This window comes from Homo sapiens, chromosome 8 (assembly GCF_000001405.40).
Source record: "Homo sapiens chromosome 8, GRCh38.p14 Primary Assembly".
Taxonomy (NCBI): Eukaryota; Metazoa; Chordata; class Mammalia; order Primates; family Hominidae; genus Homo; species Homo sapiens.
In genome coordinates this window covers 70,319,524-70,342,173 of record NC_000008.11, presented here as the reverse complement: position 1 = coordinate 70,342,173, position 22,650 = coordinate 70,319,524, and the positions used below count along the sequence as shown (strand labels likewise).

Sequence of the window (22,650 nt, the reverse complement as noted above, 5' to 3'; positions counted from 1 at the left end):
CAAAACAGATAAATAATTTAGAAGTGGTTGGTTGGCTGAATAATTCCTTACGCATGTAATATCAGCTCATGGAAGTATTAGGTATATTATCGAGTTCTGTAGTACAGATAACAAATTTTAAAAATACATCAAATCCTAGCAGCATTTTTTAAAAGTTTAAAAAGTTTGTTTTTAGGAGAAAAGAATCCTCAGAGCTTTTTAATTAGTTATATTCAGAAGTTGTCTTAGATAAAAAGAGATGTGTATTGAAAAAGTTTTTGTATGGAATATGGCATTTGCACAAAATACATTGAGTAGACAACATGGTTTTGAACATGTATTATTAAATGGAATGCATTTGAGCATTGGAAAATTCATCCTAAGGTCTTTCTTTTGTTCCTTTTGTATCTTCCAATATTATGGAAGATTATATAGCTTATCCGTTATATTTTGTTACACTAAAATTTAGAATTCACTCATTAAAAGAGTATAAACAAGACAGTAATATTTTAAGTACTAAATAAGAGCAGTCATGAGTAATATTTGTTACCTTTGTTAAAACAAAATTCATTGCTGATTAACAAAGCAATTAAGTTGCTTTTTTCCCTCAGGCATGCATCATTGCAAGACAGTTTTACCAACTTTAGTTATGGACAATTAAACTGTGTGGCTATGTATGTGTATATTGAGGAACTAACACATTTATAAATTGGTTGAGGCAGCAAGACTTCATTGACTGCCCTTGTAGTGTTGGCCAGTTTCATAGAATTTTAACTACTGATTTATTTTTATTTACTTAATTTGTTTTGAGACAGGGTCTTGCTCTGTCACCTGGGCTGGAGTGCTGTGGCACAGTCATAGCTTATCCTAACCTCAAACTCCTGGGCTTAAGCGATCCTCCCACCTCCCAAGTAGCTGTGACTACAGGCATGTGCTGGCATGTGCTACCATGCCTGGCTAATTTTCAAAGTGTTTCTAGAGATAGGGTCTCACTATATCAGGTCTTGAACTCCTGACCTCAAGCAATCCTCCCACCTTGGCCTCCCAAAGTGCTGGGATTACAGGCATTGAGCCACCATGCCCAGCCTATTTGTTTCTTTTTTTTTTTTTTTCAACTTTTTAAGTTCAGGGGTACACATGCAGGATGTACAGTTTTGTTACATAGGTAAACATCTGCCGTGGTAGTTTGCCACACAGATCATCCCATCACCTACGTATTAAGGTCAGCATTCATTAGCTATTTTTCCTGATGCTCCCTGCTACCCCCAACAGGCCCCAGTGTGTGTTGTTCCCTACCATGTGTCCATGTGTTCTTATCATTCAACTCCCACTTACAAGTAAAAACATGCGGTGTTTGTTTTTCTGTTCCTGTGTTAGTTTGCTGAGGATAGTAACTTCATGTCCATTCATGTCCCTGCAAAGGATATGATCTTGTTCCTTTTTATGGCTGCATAGTATTCCGTGGTTTATATGTACCATATTTTCTTTATCCAGTCTATCATGTTGATTCCATGTCTTTGCTATTGTGAATAGTGCTGCAGTGAACATATGCATACATGTATCTTTATAATAGAATGATTTATATTCCTTTGGGTGTATACCCAATAGTGGGATTGCTGGGTCAAATGGTATTTCTGACTCTAGGTCTTTGAGAAGTCGCTACACTGTCTTCCACAATGGTTGAACTAATTTACACTCCCACCGGTAGTGTAAAAGCATATCTTTTTCTCTGCAACCTCGCTAGCATTTGCTGTTTTTGACTTTTTAATAATCGCCATTCTGACTGGCGTGAGATGGTATCTGTCTCCTTGTGGTTTTGATTTGCATTTCTCTAAGGATCAGTGATGTTGAGCTTTTTTTCATATGTTTGTTGGCTGCATGTATATCTTCTTTTAAGAAGTGCTCGTACATGTCCTTTGTCCACTTTTTAGTGGAGTTGTTTGGTTTTTTCTTATAAATTTGTTTAAGTTCCATGTAGACTCTGGATATCAGACCACTGTCAGAAAGATAGATTACCAAATGTTTCTCCCATTCTGTAGGTTGTCTGTTTACTCTGATGATAGTTTCTTTTTCTGTGCAGAAGCTTTTTAGTTTAATTAGATCCCATTTGTCAATTTTTGCTTTTGTTGCAATTGCTTTTGGCATTTTCATCATGAAATCTTTGCCCATGCTTATGTCCTGAATGGTATTGCCTAGATATTCTTCTAGGGTTTTTATAGTTTTGCATTTTACATTTAAGTCTTTAATCCATCCTGAGTTAATTTTTGTATAAGGTGTAAGGAAGGGGTCCACTTTCAGTTTTTTGCATATGGCTAGCCAGTTCTCCCAGCACCATTTATTAAACGGGGAATCTTTTCCCCATTGCATGTTTTTGTCAGGTTTGTTGAAGATCAGATGGTTGTAGGTGTGCAACAGTTATATTACTGAGTTCTCTATTCTGTTCCATTGGTCTGTGTGTCTGTTTTTATACCAGTACCATGCTGTTTTGGTTACTGTAGCCTTGTAGTATAGCTTGAAGTCGGGTAGTGTGATGCCTCCAGCTTTGTTCTTTTTGCTTAGGATTGTCTTAGCTATTTGGGCTCTTTTTTGGTTCCATATGAATTTTAAAAGTTATTTTTTTTTCTAATTCTGTGAAGAATGCCAATGGTAGTTTAATGGGAATATCATTGAATCTATAAATTACTTTGGGCAGTATGGCCATTTTCATAATATTGAATTTTCCTATCCATGAGCATGGGATGTTTTTCCATTTGTTTGTCTCCTCTGTGATTTCGTTGAGCAGTGGTTTGTAGTTCTTCTTGAAGATGTCCTTCACTTCCCTTGTTAGCTGTATTCCTAGGTATTTTATTCTCTTTGTAGCAATTGCGAATGGGAGTTCATTCATGATTTGGCTTTCTGCTTGCCTGTCTTTGGTGTATAGGAATGCTAGTGATTTTTGCACATTGATGTATCCTGAGACTTTGCTGAAGTTGCTTATCAGTTTAGGAAGCTTTCGGGCTGAGACTATGGGGTTTTCTAGATGCTGGATCATGCTGTCTTCAAACAAAGACAATTTGACTTCCTTTCTTCCTATTTGAATACCCTTTATTTCTTTCTCTTGACTGATTGCCCTGGCCAGAACTTCCAGTACTATGCATAATAGAAATGTTGAGAGAGGGGATCCTTGTCTTATGCCGGTTTTCAAGGGAAATGCTTCCAGTATGATACTGGCTGTGAGTTTGTCATATATGGCTCTTATTATTTTGAGGTATGTTCCTTCAATACCTAGTTTATTGAGATTTTTTAACATGAAGGGATGTTGAATTTTATTGAAGGCCTTTTCTGCGTGTATTGAGATAATCATGTGTTTTTTGTCTTTAGTGCAGTTTATGTAGTGAAGCACATTTACTGTTTTGTGTGTATTGAACCAACCTTGCACCCTGGGGATGAAGCATACCTTGAAGCCACCTTGATCCTGGTGGATAAGCTTTTTGATGTGCTTCTGGATTCAGTTTGCCAGTATTTTATTGAGGGTTTTTGCATCACTCTTCATCAAGGATACTGGCCTGAAGTTTTCTCTTTTTTTGTATTTCTGCCAAGTTTTGGTATCAGGATGATGCTGGCCTCGTAGAATGAGTTAGGGAGGAGTCCCTCCTTTTCAGTTTTTTGGAATAGTTTCAGTGGAAATGGTACCAGCTCTTCTTTGTACCTCTGATAGAATTCAGCTGTGAATCTCTGGTCCTGGGCCTTTTTTGGTTGGTAGGCTATTTATTACTGCCTCAACTTCAGAATTCATTATTGGTCTGTTCAGGGATTCAGTTTCTTTCTGGTTCAGTCTTGGGAGGGTGTATGTGTCCAGGAATTTATCCATATTTTCTAGATTTTTCTATTTCATGTGCATGGAAGTGTTTATAGTATTCTCTAATGGTTGTATTTTGTGGGGTCTGTTGTGATAATCGCCTTATTATTTCTGATTGTGCTTATTTGATTCTTCTCTAGATTTTCTTCTTTATTAGTCTAGCTAGCAGTCTATCCATTTTATTAACTTTTTCAACAAACCAGCTCCTGGATTGGTTGATTTTTTTTTAAGGGTTTTTTTGTGTCTCTATCTCCTTCAATTGAGCTCTGATCTTGGTTATTTCTTGTCTTCTGCTAGCTTTCGGGTATTTTTGCTCATGGTTCTCTAGTTCTTTTAGTTGTGATGGTAGGTTATTAACTTGAGATCTTTCTAGCTTTTTGATGTGGGCATTTAGTGCTACGAATTTCCATCAACACTGCTGTAGCTGCATCCCAGAGATTCTGGTATGTTGTCTCTTTGTTCTCATTAGTTTCAAGAACTTGATTTCTGCCTTAATTTCATTATTTACCAAGAGTCATTCAGGAGCAGGTTGTTGAATTTCCATGTAGTTTTGTGGTTTTGAGTGAATTTCTTAATCTTGAGTTCTAATTTGATTGCGCTGTTGTCTGAGAGACTGTTATGACCAGTTCTTTTGCATTTGCTGAGGAGTGTTTTATTCCAATTACGTGATCAGCTTTAGCCTCATTTCTTTTACAGAAACTTGTATAGTGTTTACCATGGGCTAGGCATTGTTCTAAATACCTTTGTTAATATTGACTTACTTAAACCTGAGAGCAACACTGTGAAGGGGTTTTGACTGTTTTCAGTGTTACAGATGGTAGAGTTATACAAGTTACGCAGAGGCTGGGTAACTTGCCTAAGGTCCCACAGCTATTATGTATAGGATCACTATTCGAGTCTCAGCAGTTTGCCTCCTGAATTTTTGACCTTAACCACTGTCCTCTGTTGCCTATTCAGAAAGGTCTCTCTTGGAAAGTTGCGTCCAAATTCTTTCCTTTGTGAGACTCTTTCCTCTCAAGCTTTTTCTGACCAGACAAGGGACCTTGGGAGGGACATGTTGGCAGGAGTTTCTTACATTCTTGCTCTTCTTGATGTTTGGGAGGCAGTGTGGCAGCTGTGTTACACCACACACACACACACACACACACACACACACTCCTCAGCAGTGCTGGGTAGGCTAAATTGTGTGTACAAACACTTAGAGTTGTCAATTATCAGTCCATACCAGGTATTCAAAAACATTAATGAGTTTATTTTGGCACTCAATTTGTTTTGTGAGTGCTCCTGCTCCATGGCATCTTTATAAATATAAACTTGTCTCCGTCAGTATATATATTTGTGGGACACCTATTGTCTCTTATTTTTGGCTATTTTGGAAGATGACTTTTTTCCATTGTGGTGCCCTAGTCCTCTCCCCTCTTCACATGGCCCCTCCAGAGTGGACACCTGTGTTCACAGCACCATTATTTACAATAGTCCAAAGGTAGAAGCAACCCGGGTGTCCATCAGTGGATGAATGGATAAGCAGAATGCGGTATATACATTGATTTGGTTTTGCACTGTGTCCCACCCAAATCTCATCTCAAATTGTAATCCCCACATGTTGGAGGAGGGGCCTGGTGGGAGGGGATTGTATCATGGGGGTGGATTTCCCCCTTGTAGTTCTTGTCATAGTGAGTGAGTTCTTACGAGATCTGGTTGTTTTGTGGCATTTCCTCCGTTTTCTCTCTCTCTTTCTCTCTCCCTCTCTGTCTCTGTCTCTCCTGCCACCATGTAAGATGTGCCTTGCTTCCCCTTCACCTTCCACCATGATTGTAAGTTTCCTGAGGCCTCCCCATGAGGAACTGTGATTCAATTAAACCTCTTTTCTTTATAAATTAAGATACTTCTTTATAGTAGTGTGAAAATGGGCTAATACGTACATATAATTAAACATTAATTACCTTTAAAAAAGAAGGAATTTCTGATACATGTTACAATATGGGTGGACTGGCTAAGTGAAATAAGCCAGTCACAGAAGGACAGATCCACCCATGTGTCACATAATGATTTTTCAGTCAGCGACAGATCATATATACGACAGTGGTCCCATAAGATTATAAAGGTACTTAAAAATTCCTATCATCTAGTGCCATAGCCATCAGTATGTCTTAGCCCAGTGCATTACTCACATGTTTGTGATGATGCTGGTATAAACAAACCTACCATGCTGCCAGTTCCATAAAAGTTCGCAGTAATGTCATAGGTATCCCTGTTCACTCACCACTCACTCACTCACTCACTGACTCACCCAGCATCTTCCAGTCCTGCAAGCTCCATTCATTGCAAGAGCCCTATGCAGGTATATAATTTTTTAAAAATCTTCTATACCTTAAAAAAAATGTTTCAGACAGTATTTTTACTGTGTCTTTTCTTTGTTTATATATATTTAGAGACACAAATGCTTGCCACTCTGTTGCAGTTGCCCACAGTATTCGGTACAATGGCATACTGTACAGGTTTGTGGTCTGGAAGCAATAGGCTATACCATATAGCCTCGGTGTGTAGCAGGCTCCACCATCTAGGTTTGTGTAAATATGCTCTACAATGTTCGCAAAATGATGAAATCACCTAACGATGCATTTCTTGGAAGGTATCCCTATCATTAATTGACACAGACTGTAGTGTATGATTCTACTCTTATGAAGTACCTAGAGTAGTCAAATTCATAGAAATAAGATAGAAGAGTGGTTGCCAGGAGTAGGGAGCAGGGGTGCGGGAGGAATGAGAGTTGTTTAATTGGTATAGAATTTTGGTTTTACAAGGTGAAAATAGTCCTGGAGATTGGTTGCACAACAGTGTGAATGTGCTTAACAGTAACTAAACTGTCCATTTAAACAGAATCATGGCAAATTTTTGTTATGTGTGTTGTGTCACACACAGAAGAAAGCCCTTCAGATTTGGTGTAAAATCTGTTTAGCTGTTGTAGTGTGTTGCTTCAGTAGACAAAAAGACAAAAAGACAAACCAGCTCAGTTCTGCTTTTGAGATGACACACATTGTGGTACCTGTGTGAATGTGTTTGTATCAATTCAGAAAAGGCCTGTTGTGGAAGTTGAAGAAAGGGAAAAGCCAGTATGGGGGGCAGTGTGAGCAGAGATCATGGAAGCAGAAATGAATGGAACATGTCTAGGGTGACTGAGAAAATGGTCATAGGGAGAGATCTTTTTTTTTTTTTTTTTTTTTTTTTTTTTTTGAGATGGAGTCTCATGCTGTTGCCCAGGCTGGAGTGCAGTGGCACAATCTCAGCTCACTGCAACCTCCACCTCCCAGGTTCAAGAGATTTTCCTGCCTCAGCTTACCAAGTAGCTGGGATTACAGGCATGCACCACCACACCTGGCTAGTTTTTTTATTTTTGTAGAGATAGGGTTTCACCGTGTCGGTCAGGCTGGTCTCAAACTCCTGACCTCAGGTGATCCGCCACCTCGGCCTCCCAAAGTGCTGAGATCACAGGCACATGCCACTGCGCCCAGCCAAGGAGAGAGAATCTGACCAGAGCAAAATGAATATTACTAAGAGCTGGTATCAGTCTCCATTTTTTCAGTCTCTACTTTTTGATAATTGAAGTTTGGTCATTTTGTTTATATTTCATTTCTCACCACATCTATCAGGTAGAGTATTTGATGCCTTTTGCCAAGGATCATTTCAGGGAATGCTCTGCGCTGTGAGTTACTAGGATTGATGTAAGGATAAGTCTACAACCCCCTTCCCTTAGAATTTCATGCTCTAATAGGCAAGATAAGAAACGTGGACCAGTATAACTAAAATGCAAGACAGAGAGTCGAGTGATATGCAGTATCAAGAACGTTGTACATAGACTAGAGAGATGGAGTTCTCAGAGGGAAGACCAGGGAAGGTCCTAAAGAAGTAGGAGCGGAACTTTGAAAGAGAGGAAGGATGTTAATAGGTAGAGCTAATAAAGGTATAGATCCAGGGTGAGCACATGACACAGAAAGATACAGGGAAGGCTTAAAGTGTGGGAAGACAGTGCATTGACACCATCAGAAGGTCAAGCCAACAGATGCTGTGTTAGGAAGCATGAGGGTTGATATATGGGCCATTTTGTGATTGTTCAGTGATACGGCTGATTTGATTCTTTGGTGTCCATCTGAAGTAGGAAATTAGCTTGGATAAATAAATAAGGAGGATATAAATTTGGCCTTAAAAGTTAGGCATAGGGGTTAAAATTTGATTGAGTTCACTATATAGAGCTATTGAAAGAGTTCTGAGCAGAGTTTTATCAGGTAGGTAGCAGTATGTAGAGTGAATTGTATTGATGAGAAAGACTGGGTAGTTCAAAGGCTATTGAAGAGTGAAAAGCATGAAGACCTGGACTAGGGTAGTAGTAGCAACAGACACCAAAAGAAGAGAGGATTAACCTGAAGTAGAAGAAATAGTGGAAGGAAGGAAGGAGGGAAATTAACAACTAAGATGCATATTTTATTTGCAAAGCATTTATTGCTTGACATTAACTGGCCAGTGTTACCCACTCTTAGAGAATAGGTATGTATATTGCTCAGGCAAGGGGCATTGTCATGTAACAGTCTGGGTGAAGAATCTTTGTTAGAGCAAGCTGATGGGGAGGGTCTTGGATGGCTTTTAGGACTGGTGAATTGACAAGTGCAGGTAGTGGTCACCATTAACGTGTACTGGGTTTGTTGGCTGTGTCCACTGGTGTGCCTAGGCCAGTGGTTCTCACCCTTCCATGCCTTGATAAATGGCAAATTCTGTTAAATTTTGAAAGTTTGTGTTAATTTTTTGCTGCTGATGTGTATTCATGTCGCCCAACAGAGTGTGAAAGAGAATCTAACCCAGCAGGTTATTCATGGCAGTGTTGGAGCAAGGCAATGATTGCTCTTAAGAAGCAAGAGGCTTAATCTCTAGGCCAGTGCCCAGAACTGCCCATTGCTGGCAGAGTTCAGGAAATGTACTTCAATAGCAGTGGCTGCTATTGGGAGTCTGGGACTGATGCAGCTTCAGGGTGATGGGACAGCATTGGCACCCCAAGGTACCCATCGGTGTAATAGTGAATGCTTAGGAATACTCTGGGCATGGTTCAGTTTAGATGTGGGTTTTTAAATTCATTCAGGTCTGCCCAAAAAAAGTCCAGTCTTTGAACATGCCCTGCAAGCAGTTGGAAAAGACCGGTCCAGCCAGCTCTTTGATAAATGCTGCAACTACATAATGGGGTGGATGAAGGTAGGGTGAAAAGAGAATGGAATTTGGAAAATGAAATCATAAGTTTGAATCCTTGCTTTGCCACTATCATTGAGACCCCAGGCAAGTTATCTCAGAAACTGAGAAATCCCAGTTTTTACAGTTTCTTTGTAAAATGAAAGTAATCATATTTACCTTTCAGGCCTAATCTGGTAACTGTAGTTAATGACTATAAAGTTCTAGGCATTGTACTCCATGAATAAAAATAATTTATTTCCTGTCTCCACTGTGGGATGACTTCAGTGCTTTATTCTTCTCTGTATTAAGCAACCACATCCCAGCTTTCGTAAAGCATGTGTTTCTCTGAACTATGGACTCCTGGAGTTTGATCTTTAAAGATTAAATAGGCTTAGAGTAGTCAGGCCAAGAAAGCAAGTGTTGGTCACTTGTGAATTATTTAAAATGGAAAAAAATAATTAGATATAAGCATCAAAATTTGCTGTTAAAAATCTATTTAAATTGTAATACATCTGAATACACAGTCATACACATTATGAAGCACCTTTAAAAAAGGCTCCACTTGCCACCCCCACCTAAAAACAGCAACAGCAAAATTTATGACTAAAATAGTCAAAGGGGATTTTGGCAGACTTTTCTATCAACTTCCACAGAAAAAGACCCATTTTCCTATTTAGAATTAGGAAGAAGAAGTTGGGAAAATGTTTTAGAGCAGCGTAGAGTCAGAAATATCATATTATAATATATTGTAGTATTGTGGAACATATTCAAGTGTAGGTAGTTTTCTTTTAATTATTAAGCATAGTTTTAAACCTGCTTACAAATGTAGCCATTTTAATTCACAGTGGGCTAAACTTGGCACAGATATTCTCTGCTCAAACACAAATGTAGTTGCTTTTTAACTGAAAAAGTTGACTTGCTCCTTTTTCAAAATTCCTAGAGATTTAAAAAAATGTATTTACTTTGTCCAGTTTTAGCTACAAGCAATGGTGTTGGCTTCTTCCCCAACCACTTCTAATTCAAGTTACTGTTTACTATATACTTTTGTTTTTAGTAAAATAGTTGATTTACAAGTCTTAAAATGGCTTCTCTCATCGCATAGTGACTGCTTTTCATAAGTATTGTTTTTGAAACCTTAATAAAGGAGCGCATGTAACATGAATATAAAAGAAAATCCTGTTGACCTTGAGGGTACTTTGCATTCTAACATTTTCAGCATCTCTATTCATGTCATGATGTAAGTCATGTTTTATTGTTTAAAAGTGTAGTTTGTCTATGTATGTGAAAAACTGCATTTATTCATACTGCCTTTGCTGGGACTGTAACATCTTAATGATTTTATTTTGTTCACAATATGTTTGATTGCTCCTTCACTGAATATGAGATTTTTGCTTTAGAAAATTTAAATGTAAGCATTTAAAGATACAGCTTAAATGAAAATTAAAGCTTAGCTTAAAATGAAGTTGGCTAAAGTCTGACTTTTACTTTGATTTCTCTGGTCGTATGCAGTTTAATGCCAGAAAAAAAATGTAGATCTAAAATAACATCAAAATGTTAGACTTTTTAGAAGTTTCACATAAATTAATACATAGCATTAATTTTAGACATTTTAACGTAAGGAATATCTGTTACTTGTAGCTATGAACTCTTAGGCAACTGAAGAGATCTGTAAAAAGGAAAAAATCTGTAATTTAATACAGTTTTAGCAATTTAAAAATTAGCTTAAAATTTGTAGTACCATTTTATATTTCAGCAAGCTAAAATTTTGAATTAGAGTAAATTCAAGGACACATAAAAGCTGTATTAAAAATTTAAAGACTAAAATGATTACTTTTCTGATTATGTGCTATACTCTATTGTGTTGTTTTAGTTTGTTTGTTTTAGTAAGAAAGCTTTATGCTGTTGTTTCTATGTGCCAGAAATGATTAGCAGGTGACAGTTTTACTCCTGATCATTATTGTACGAGAAAGCCCAGTAAAGAATATCTTAAAAATATCATACATTTGCTATATATGTAAATGTAGAATTTGCTTTTTTTTTAATTAAAAGCTGTACCATATGAGCATTTCAGGATGTAAATAAATTCCTCCTCCATGTTAGAACTGTTTTCTTTACTGACTGTTCTTAAGTAAGTGGGAGTACGGGAGGCTTTAAAATGAATTAGCTAATTGAAAGTTCTTATTTAGGAGAGAAATATTATATATTAATTCCTTATCTATTTGCTTTGCATAGCTGCCATTTCCAGATAACTGAAGATAACCAGCTCGTAGGTGTTAGAATTGCTTTTATTTTATTTAACCACTTCAACTGGAAATTTTTTCTAAGTGTATTGCACACAGCCATACTTTTTAAGATTGCGTAAGCATAACCTGTCTTTTTCTTGTGACTCAGTAAATACTGTGCACGTTACTTTTTGTTAACTTGTGTTCAGCATTTTGCTTTTGTACTATGACATAAGACTTTTCCAAATTTTAATTTCTGGTATCTGATTTTTTTCTATGACTGCCAGCTATTGTTTTTACTAATTGACATTCATCTTTTTTTTGTTTGTTTTTTGGGGTTTTTTTTTTTTTTGAGACATGGTGTCTGTGTCACTCAGGCTGGAGTGCAGTGGCATGATTGGAGCCTACTGTAGCCTAGACCTCCTGGGCTCCAACAATCTTTCCATCTCAGCCTCCTGAGTAGCTGGGACTGCAGGTGTGTGCCACCATGCCCGGCTTATCTTTTTATTTTTTGTAGGGACAGGAGCCTCTCTATGTTGCCTGGGCTGGTCTTGAATTCCTGGCCTCAAGGGATCCCTCTGCGTTGGCCTTCCAAAGTGTTGGGATTACAGGCATGAGCCACCGTACCGAGCTCATACATTATTCCACTGTGTTCCTTATTTGAAGCAAATAAGAAACCAGATCATCATCATCATCATCATCATTATCATCATCATCATCATCATTTATTGAGTGTTTTATAATCTTCATATCCTGTGTCAAAGTCATTATTCCCATCTTGTACTGGAAAAAAAAATAGGTTTAGATAGGTTAAATAACTTAATGGAGGTAAGGCAGTTGGAAGTGGTAAGATGGAATATGACTCAGATGAGTTTTTCTATATATATAAATATGTATGTGCCTTTGTAAATACTACCCAGATGAAAACAGGATATTTATATCACTCCAGAAGGTTCCCTCTCCTGTGCTCTTTTCCATTAGTATTTCCCCAGAGATAACCGCTGTGGTGACCTTGGTCCCTATAAGATAGAGCTCTGTTCTTTGTAATTAGTTTTACCTGTTCTTGAACTTTATAAAAGTTGAATCATATAAGACGTACTTTTTTGTGTCAGGCTTCTTTGCTGTGCATTGTTGCATCCATGAGATTTCTGAATGTTGTAGTATATAGCGTTAGTGCTTTTGTTTACATTGCTTTGTAGTATTCCATTATATGAATATATTAATATTTATTTATCCTATTGATGAATACATCAACATTTGGGTCACTTTCTATTTTGGTGTTATGAATAAAGCTGCTGTGAACATTCCTATTTGTGTTTTTTGTGGACATGAGCCCTCACATCTCTTGGGTATACCCAAGATCAAAATTGCTGAGTCTTGGCTGAGGCATGTGGACTCACACCTGTAATGCTAGCATTTTGGGAGGTCCAGTTGGGAGGATGACTTGAGGCCTGGAGTTCAAGACCAGCCTGGGAGACTCCATCTCTACAAAAAATTAAAAAATAAAAAAGGTCAGAAACAGTGGCTTATGCCTGTAATTCCAGCACTTGGGGAGGCTGAGGTGGGTCGATTGCTTGAGCCCAGGAGTTTGAGACCATCCACATGGCGAACTCCCATCTCTACAAAAGGACAAAAAATAAGCCAGGTGTGGTGGCTCACGCCTGTAGTCCCAACTACTTAGGAGGCTGAGGTGGGAGGATTGCTTGAACACATTGGGGGCTACGGTGAGCTGTGATAGCACCACTGCACTCCTGGGCAGCAGAGTGAGACCCTGTCTCAAAAAAAGAAACCAGAAAACAGTAGCCAGGCATGGTGGTGTGCATCTGTGGTCCTAGCTCCTTAGATGGCTGAGGCAGGAGGATTATTTGAGCCCAGGAGTTCAGGCTGTAGTGAGCTATGATCATGCCACTGCACTCCAGCTTGGGTGACAGAGTGTGAGATCCTGTCTCTAAGAAGGAAAAAAAAATTGCTGGGTCTTGAGAATAAAGTATATTGAGCTTTAGTAGGTACTAGGTACTACCAAACAGTTTTTCAAGTGGTTGTATCAGTTTATATTCTCATCAGCAATGTTGTGGAAGTTCTAGTTGCTCTGCATCCTCATTACTTGTTGGTATTGTCCTATTTTTTCTCTTTGTTTTTAATTTTATTTATTCTGGTAAGGTATCTAGTTTGACACCAGAGAAATGCAAATGAAAAGTTATTTTTTAACATGAAAAAATATTTAATGTGAAAAATGTATTCTGTGTGTACAGATGAATAGGTGTGTACATGGTCTTGAACCTTGCTGAGTTTTTTTCCTCTTAACCTCAGTTTTTATAAGTGAGCCTTGATTGCCTGCTTAATCACTGATATTAATAGAGTTCTTCTATAACAAGGACAAGTTCAGTATTCTAGAAACCACTTGTTTAGTTTAGAATTTTATTTAAGGAAATTTATTCAAGGAATTTAAGATGGTAAATGTCTATTCAAAGAATCCAGTTTATGAATGATGTCTAGGAGACCTAGAGAGGACAAGAAAAATTGTACCCAAGAATGTCACAAACTTATTGCGTAGAAACATACAAATTGTCTTGTAGAAGAACTGAGGAAAGACCTTTACAGCTGAAAAATAATCGGTTTCTTTCACTGAAATATAGCAGGTACATATAATCTATAAGACTTAGAATTGTATTCATTCGATGGTTTACATAATCTCATAGCTATTCTGCTGAAAAGTTCTTGAATTGATTAGTTCTTGGTTTTCCAAGTTCAGTGCCATTTACAGGTCTTCAACTTTTCTGTATGTGTCTCAGGTACGCTGATTAGTCAGACGGTCTCATCTGAAACTAATGTATAATAGTGCTAAGTTGTGTAACTTGCCATACCAGTTTTACAGTGTTTTTGTTTTGCTCAAAGTAGATGAAAGGTTTATTTAAGTGTGGCCACACTGGTACTGCATTCCTGGTGATCTTGGTAAGGTTAATGACAATCTTTGTCATAGAAATCAGGAAATGTGGGTTGAGCCTCTGGGATGCATGTAGCTGGTTCGTTAAAATGCTGCTTCCCAAAGGAGTGGAGATTGTTGGAAGCTCTTGGTAGGTAATGTAGCTTTAAAAACCCATCTGTCTGTCTGTCTGTCTGTCTCTCCATCTATCTACATTCAGCTTTTTTAAAACTCTCTTAATACATCAGTGTTTAATCATAATATCTACTGTGTGATTGCTTTCTCTAGTAACATTAAAAACCGCTTTGGAAATCCAGGTCGGTTTTTTTCCTGGTTTTGTTTTAGTTGGAGTGTTTTGATTAGTAGTGATGATGGTCATATAGTGAGATTGTACTTGTACTTTAACTGGTTGACTTTTAACTACATTAATTTTGTCTGTTGGTATTCTGATTTATGCCACTGCTATTTACTTTTAGAAGGTGGATTGAAGAGTTGCTTAAAATAAATGTCTTTGAAACAGAATCAGTTAAAGCAATTAAAGCAGTTTTGGTACTCACTTAACTTTGAGGTATCCTTTGGACAATATTTGAATGGATTATATTAATGAATTTTGCAAAAATTTCAGGCTTCTCACAAATGTATAAATGTAGGCATGCATTTATGTGCAGAGAATACATACTGCATTCTTGCTTTCTGTTGAGTATGTTGTTACCAGGCACACTTTACTTAATTTGTTTCAGATATATTCCTTAATGACATTATTCAAAATGCAAATGAATACAAGGCAAGATTGTTGCTCATTTGAAGATTTGTTCATTTCAAGACTTTTCATGTGTGCCTATGTTTTAAGGAAAGTGATGACAGAAGCCGAATGTATTAATCTCCTCGAGCAAACTTCAAGAATATACTTAATCTTGAATATGAATGGAAAACTTTGAAGTTAGGCAAGGAAAGCTTAAGCAAAGGCAGTGAAGTGAGTTAGTGGCTGGTAAAGGACTACTGGGACAGGACTGAGTGAAGTTAAGATTGTCCTTAGTGTGATCTCTAGAGAAGCTAGGAGATAAGTTATGTATTAGAACCACAGTAAGGTAGCTGAGGCCTTTAATTTTTTAAAAGACTGTTTCTGCATTTTGTAAAGTTAGTGTTGAATTTAGAGACTATTTCCAATACTTCAAAGGCTAAAACTAATGAAAGCTGAATATATCTCATTACATTTTCTGTTCTTCTTTATGCATCTGGATGATCATGAATATTGAGTTACCAGTATGTCTAGGAGTGAATCTGTATAATGGTCAAGTAAACTTTGCTAGCTTTTGAGCTTGAAATCTTCAACACTGGATCACTGGAGGCCGTGACCAATGATCTCCATGATTTGTTATATATATATCATGTAAGAAATTAAAAATTTGCTATCAGTTTTCCTCATGTGAACCCCCCTTGTTTTATATTTTATGAAAGACATGTCCTCCAAATTACTTTGTTTTCTGTATAATTTTAGGAATCACAGCTGTGTGTGTGTGTGTGCATGTGTGTGTGTGTGTGTGCACGTGTGTGTGTGTGTGTGTGTGAGAGAGAGAAATGCAGAAAGGGTAGTTTTCTGTCATTTTATTTGTATTAATTTTATTGCTGTCACTATTTTGAACTAACAGTGAAATGCCTGTATCCTTTCACATGTATATGGGAGAACTTAATAAAGGTAAGAGCATATGTACTTTATATACATATATACACGGACTTATTTATGTGATGGTGACTTAATTATAAAGGGTAAGAGGATGTATACTTCATACATAGATGTACACAGACTTACAGTTTATATTACATGTAGTAGACTACTTTGAAAATAGTATTAATTGAACCATATCATGGGTACTAGGAAGAATTGACAAAAGTGTTTATATGATTAAGAACTGTAGGAGTTTTGGTGGAAGCCTATTAAACTGTAACTCAGTGTTTTTGGCTTGTCTTGCCAGTTGTGAAGAGGTGAGGAGTAGTGCAGGCTAGTTTCCTAGTGGCCTCATTTGAGCTGCCTCTGCTATTAGAATGGTAGGTGTGTCCCAGGGAGAGCAGTCAGCTACTTAGAATGTTGGTGGTAATGGCCTTCATTTGTGAGGTGATGAGGTTAGAGATGATGAAGCTTTGGCCAGAAAGATCAGAATGGCAGACCAAGTAAATGGGCCACCCATGTGAAAGATTCTGGGGGATAGCTAGATCCCATTTTAGCCTCGATAAAGAACAGACAAGATTCTTAAATGAAAAGTATAAGTGAAAACTTGCAGTTAAGATGTTATTTTCAGCCAGGCACGATAGCTCACGCCTGTAATCCCAGAACTTTGGGAGGCCAAAGTGGGCAGATTACTTGAGTCCAGGAGTTCAAGACCAGCCTGGGTGACACGGCGAAATCCCATCTTTACAAAAATTAGCTGAGTGTGGTGATGTGCACCTGTAGTCCCAGCTACTTAGGAGGATCACCTGAGCCAGAGGAGGTTGAGGCTGCAGTGTGCCGAGATTACGCCACTGTACTCCAGCCTGGGCGACAGAGTGTTTAAAAAAAAAAAAAGATGTTATGTTCTACTTTCTATTTATTAAATTAGTAGAATGAGTGAATGAGTGAGAGACTGCCCTTTGTTAATTAGATTGTGATTGAAAGAGCATTTTCAGGAACTAGTCTTTGGTATAAATTGTTACTACTTTTCTGAAAAACCACTTTGGCTTTGTATAGCAGAAGCCTTACCAGTTGAGCATATCTTTTGACCAAGGAATGCCTAGGAAATAATTATATAACCAGACGAAGATTTGTGTTCAAAGATTTCTGTCATACAGTTTCTGTAAACAGTGAAACAATGGAAACAGCACTGTTTAACAGGAAAGAAATGGTTAGGTACATGATGCCATATTCTTAAGATAGGAATAACAGTAATGGTAAGGGCAAATAGCTAAGTAGTAAATTATTATGTTTAAAGATATGGATAGTAAAAACATCTGAAAGAAATAAATTAAAAAATATTAGCTAAAATACTAAGAGAAGTTACTTCATGGGGGTAGAGATAGTGGTGAATATTTCTTCCTCTCTTTTATGCTTTTTTTCTATTTTTCAAAATTTCCAAAGTAAACATAAAAAGGAAAATTTAAAAAGATCAGAGTGAATGATAACTTCATTAAAGGGGGAAAGGTAGAACTGACTGCATTTGAAATAGTTGGTTCAGATATGAGGCCACGTTTGGAAACAGTACCTAATATCTTGTCTCTTGGAACAAGTCCCAAGGATAGCAAAATCTTCTTGGAATGAGTAAGAAAGGGTTATTAATTTTCTTTTAAAGGTTGTTGATCTATAGAGTTTATCCTATATGAGTACCTTTTTTTTTTTGGGGTTGGACACCATGGCTCGTGAGCTTTTGGGAGGCCAAGGCGGGTGGATTGCTTGAGGCAGGAGTTTGAGACCAGCCTTGACAACATAGTGAGAACCCTGTCTTTACAGAAAATAAATTAAAAATTAGCTGGGTGCAGTGGCACGTGCCTACAGTCCCAGCAACCTGGGAGGCTGAGGCAGGAGGATCACTTGCGCCCAATAAGTTTGAGATTGCAGCGAGCTTTGGTCACATCACTGCACTGCAGCCTGAGTGACAGAGCGAGACCTTGTCTCAAAAATAAACCTAAAAAAAACAAAGATATTAATACAACTTTTTTATATCCTCTGGCACCTGGTACTTGATGAGTTCATGAGGAACTAGAGAATGAATGAATGAAATTTGCACTGCATTTTGGTCACAAATTGACAAGATGTCTCCATATACTTTAGGGATTAGATAGCATATATTGATAAGATGGAGAAAATAGAGATATTTGGAGTAGAATAATCACCAGCTTACTTAGTATATTTTATCCTAACATGTGTATCCTAGGCATATACATGTCAGTCTTGAAAAATGAAGTCCTTTATTAAGACGGATTTTCAGAGGGAGAGAAAAACTAGTAGCAGAACCAGTTAAGGTGGTATGTGGGACCAGTAATGGGTAGGGGAAGGGCTGGGCCTGGGAAATGGGACCCCAGACTGTTCAGGGAAGCATGTTCATCCCCACTGAAGATTAGGACTGTCCTGGAAATACCATGTTAACCTACCATATGGTATTGGATAGTTGTGTTTGTATATACATATTATTCTTTAAATTTTGGATCTTTTTGGGAGTTCATTTTAAAAACTATTTTTTTTCTAGAAAACCAGAAAATTAGCACATAGGCTCATACCAGGTGTCAGAAAGGTTATTGGAGATAGTTGGGTAGATAGTATTTATTGAGTGAGACAATGTTATAATCATATAATCAGTAGTCTGATTTACACATCGTTTATGGTAATAAGTATCCCCAGGCAATAATCTCCCCCCCTTCAATAATTAGCAAAGGACTTAATGTATCAAATAATTATTTTTTAAAAAAATTTTGTTAAATTTCCAGATTAGGCTGTTAGCACCCTTAATATCAATGACCTTTTTGAAGTTTGCTAATTTTTTTTCCTACCTCAGATAAATCTGCTTTTCACTGTCAGCATTACTTATGTTTCATCCTGTGTTCGTGTGCTTTCTCGCTGTTGCTACATTCAACATCCAAATTGTAATTTATATTTATAACTGCCTCTCATCTAATTATATTCTTTCTCGTTTTTAAAACACAGCAAAATCAACTTTAGCTAGCCATTATACTAAAACATACTACATTTTCTTTTAAACTTCTTTTAGTTTGTTTCCTCTAGATGGTAAACTCTACTCAGGCAGGGATTATGTTTGATTATTGATGTGAATGCAACTTTTTAGAACATAGCTGCGTACTCAGTGGACTCAGTACATACTGACCAGTTGTTGAAAAATCTGATGCAGCCTCCCTAAGTGTTTAGCATAGCCAGAGTAGTTTACGTATTCGTTAAATCTGACTCAGTAATTAGCAGACCTAGTGTTTAAGTACTGGGGAAATACCTGCTTGCCTCTCACAGATGTCAAGAAAGTACCTGGTAGAAGAGTCTTACGACACAGCCTAACTTGTGTAGGACAGAAGATACCATCTGGACTTTGTAGAACCCAGAAATACAAGTCTAAAAATATCTTGATAACAAATTCTTTGAAATATTTTTGAAGGTCCTGAGCACTTCACTTTTTTGGCTATATTATTAGGAATTGTTTGATCTCTGCAATTTCAACAATGATTACAGTAATCACTGTCATTATCAAGCATTTACTATGGGCCAGACCCTTTCCTAGGTACTTTACATACAATATATTGTTCTGTTAAAAACTTAACAAGGTTTGTATTATTATTTTACAAATGAAGAAACTAAGGCCGAGGGAGGTTAACTAACTTGCCCAGGATCACACGTATGGTAAAGGCAGAAGTAAATACTTGAGATATGGTTTGTTGAGTTCTAAAACTTAGGTGAATTTTACCTCCTAATACGTCTCAAGGATGTGGGTACTGGAGGAAGAACTGTACTGAAATCCAAATATTTGGTGCTAGCTGTTTTGTATAATACTAGTAAATATTCATATTGCCCTTATGGTATTGCTTATGATCATACAATAATTGGTTCTTGCTTATATAGAAATCTACAGTTTTCTGTAGTGAATATATGTGTTACAGCAACCACAACTATTTATCTGAAATATCAGTAAATATTTATCATAGGAATGAACATATATTAAGTCTTGACAGAGCTCTCGAGGCATAATGACTTGGTTGAAAGTAGCAGATTTCAGTAAGAACCATGCCAAAAATATTAAGCTATAAGTTATTAGTGTACCTAGTTTTAATGGCAAACATGATGATTTTCTTAGTGCCATATGATGAAATAAATAACTTACTAGAAGTTTGTAGACAGGTTTTTTTTTCCCCCTCTGGAGACAGAGTCATGCTTTGTTGCCCAGGCTGGAGTGCAATGGCATAATTTTGGCTCACTGCAACCTCTGCCTCCCAGGTTCAAGCAATTCTCCTGCCTCAGCCTCCCACGTACCTGGGATTACCATGCCTGGCTAATTTTTGTATTTTTAGTAGAGATGAGGTTTCACCATGTTTGCCTGGCTGGTCTCGAACTCCTGACCTCAGGTGATCCCCCCGCCTGGGCCTCCCAAAGTGCTGGGATTACAGGCCACCTCACCTAGGCTAGATAGTTTTATTCACTTGGCTGTTTCACCAAAAAAAAAAAAAAAAAAAAAAAAAAAAGGTATATTCTGAAACTTAGGAAAGCATTACCTAAGAATCAAGTTTATAAATAAAATATATTCTTGATGAAGGAAAAAAGCAAAGCATTTCTGATATATTAGAAATTTCAAACCTCATAGGAAAGAATGCTGTTTTGCTTCTTGTGTGGCGAAGGGTGTCTTAGTAAGTCTACTTCCTCTGTGAGAAAGAAAATGGATGTGCACAGCCTGCCTGGTACCTACTGAAATCTCCTTTGGATAAATAATTTCTTTTTCAAAAATTTTAATTTTGTAAATTGGCAATTTGTAATTACATACTTATGGGTTACAAAGTGATGTTATATTTTATGAATATTGGCTGGGCATGGAAGCTCATGCCTGTAATCCCAGCACTTTGAGAGGCTGAGGCAGGTGGAGTGCTGGAGCTCAGGGGTTCAAGATTAGCCTGGGCAACATGGTGAAACCCTATCTCTACAAAAAAAAAAACAAAGTGATGTTATATTTTATGAATATAATGTGGAATAATTAAATCAAGCTAATTAACATATCCCTCATTTTGAAAACTTTATGTGGTGAGAACATTTGAAATTTAAGAATTTTGATGTGTATAATACACTGTTGTTAACTATACTTTCCATGCTGTACAATAGATCTCAAAATGCAAAACAATAGAAAACCCATTGAGGCTTTCCAGGGGCCTAGAAGAAAATCCCAAAGTTAATTTGGAGCTCAGAAAGTTAATTTAGAATTTGATTTTGGGAAGCTTGTCAAAATTATTGAAGGTTTAAAACACTTGATCAAAATAGGATCACAGGTCACTGCGAAATAGTAGTCATTCATTTAATCAGTGTGATAATAAAAGGATTTCAAAAGGCAAATACAGAAAGTTATATATTTGTAGATAAAACCTTAGTTCTTTAATAGAGATAACTCATAACACTTACTAAAGACAATATGCACAGTGAATCATACTGATAAAACACAGAATCCTTGTTTTCGAGACCAGTTACCTAAAAGATAAAAACCTTTCATTATTTTTTATTAAGAGCAGATCAATACTCCTCCAAGAAAACCTTTTTTTTAACAGAGTATCAGATTACCTGTTTTGTGTTAGTGTATTTTGATATATATGCTCAGTTTTTAGAAAAACTTTTAATTTCCTTGCAATTTTAGCCAGTTTGATTGCATGTAAAATTTCTTTTGCAAGTTTCATTTTCCACAAACCTTTTACAACCCTTCTTATAGCCTATGCTTTTTATTCATATTGGAACAACCAGTCACTCTAGGACAAAAATTACTATCTTTTTCTCTTAATAAAACCATATCTTTCATGTAAGCCTGACTTACCAAAAAACCACATTCCTTTCCTTGCATAAAGAGTTTTTTCTCTTATTTCTAGTTTTAATTATCATATAGTAGAGTTTTTAACTTAGTGATTTTAATTTATAGAGAAAACTGAGGAAGTAATAAGCAGTTGTGAGCTGTTGTGTATCAGCATTTTGTAGATGAGCACTGTTTCAAAATTTTTAGAACACTTTTTCTCATAATGTAGTTTCTTCATGTTTTTTTTAACAGACCCAGATATATAGCTTCCATATAAAAACAAGATGTCAAAATACATATACTTTAAACTTGTATTCAGCAATTAATGTTTCAGCATTTTAACTTACATAGAAATGAGGCAGACATTTCATGAATATCTATTTAAGATTTCACGTTACTGCAAAGGAATTTTAAAATTTTGAAAAGTGAATTTATAAACATTTATACTATTCACATTCACCTAATTTATTCATTCTTAATAGTTATGTTTGAATTGCTCATGGAAAACAAGGCTACCCATCATCATATTTTTTGACAAATCGGACAGTTAAAAATATCACAGAAGCAAAGAAACCAATAACTTAAACTTGGTTTTTCCCTCTTCCTTTTACCTCCATGTCTGACATGTATCAAGCAATTTATTTTCATGAGTATTCTGCAATAAGCTTGGATTTATAGTTTTAAGGTCTTAAATATCTAGGAGATAACAAGCCTGTTTGACTAGTAAAACTAGGTTTAAAGAAAGTATGCTTGCATTATAATTGATGTTAGCAATTCCAAAAACATTTTTAACAATAATTTTAAAACTAGCTTTATTTACCAAAGATTATCTCAGATCACCTGAAGTAAAAGACATTAGTTTCTGTTTTCTGAGAGAATATTTATTTAAGCATCACTTTTTAAAAGCCAGCTAAATAGAGCTTTTATTTATTTATTTATTTATTTATTTATTTTTGAGACAGGGTCTCT

The 22,650-nt window shown here is 36.6% G+C and overlaps 1 protein-coding gene across 39 annotated transcripts in view; it reads left to right on the top strand.

The window, feature by feature from the left end:
- Window positions 1-22,650, top strand: part of NCOA2 (nuclear receptor coactivator 2) — a 346,665-nt gene that overhangs the window by 114,273 nt on the left and 209,742 nt on the right. For 2 of the 39 annotated variants that reach the window (XM_047421239.1, XM_047421242.1), the window contains exon 1: window positions 14,239-14,327. The exons of the other annotated variants lie outside the window; for them this stretch is intronic. The gene's annotated coding sequence lies outside the window, so the exon portion shown is untranslated. Of the gene's footprint in view, window positions 1-14,238; window positions 14,328-22,650 lie in introns of those variants that run through there. 39 annotated transcript variants of the gene reach the window in all.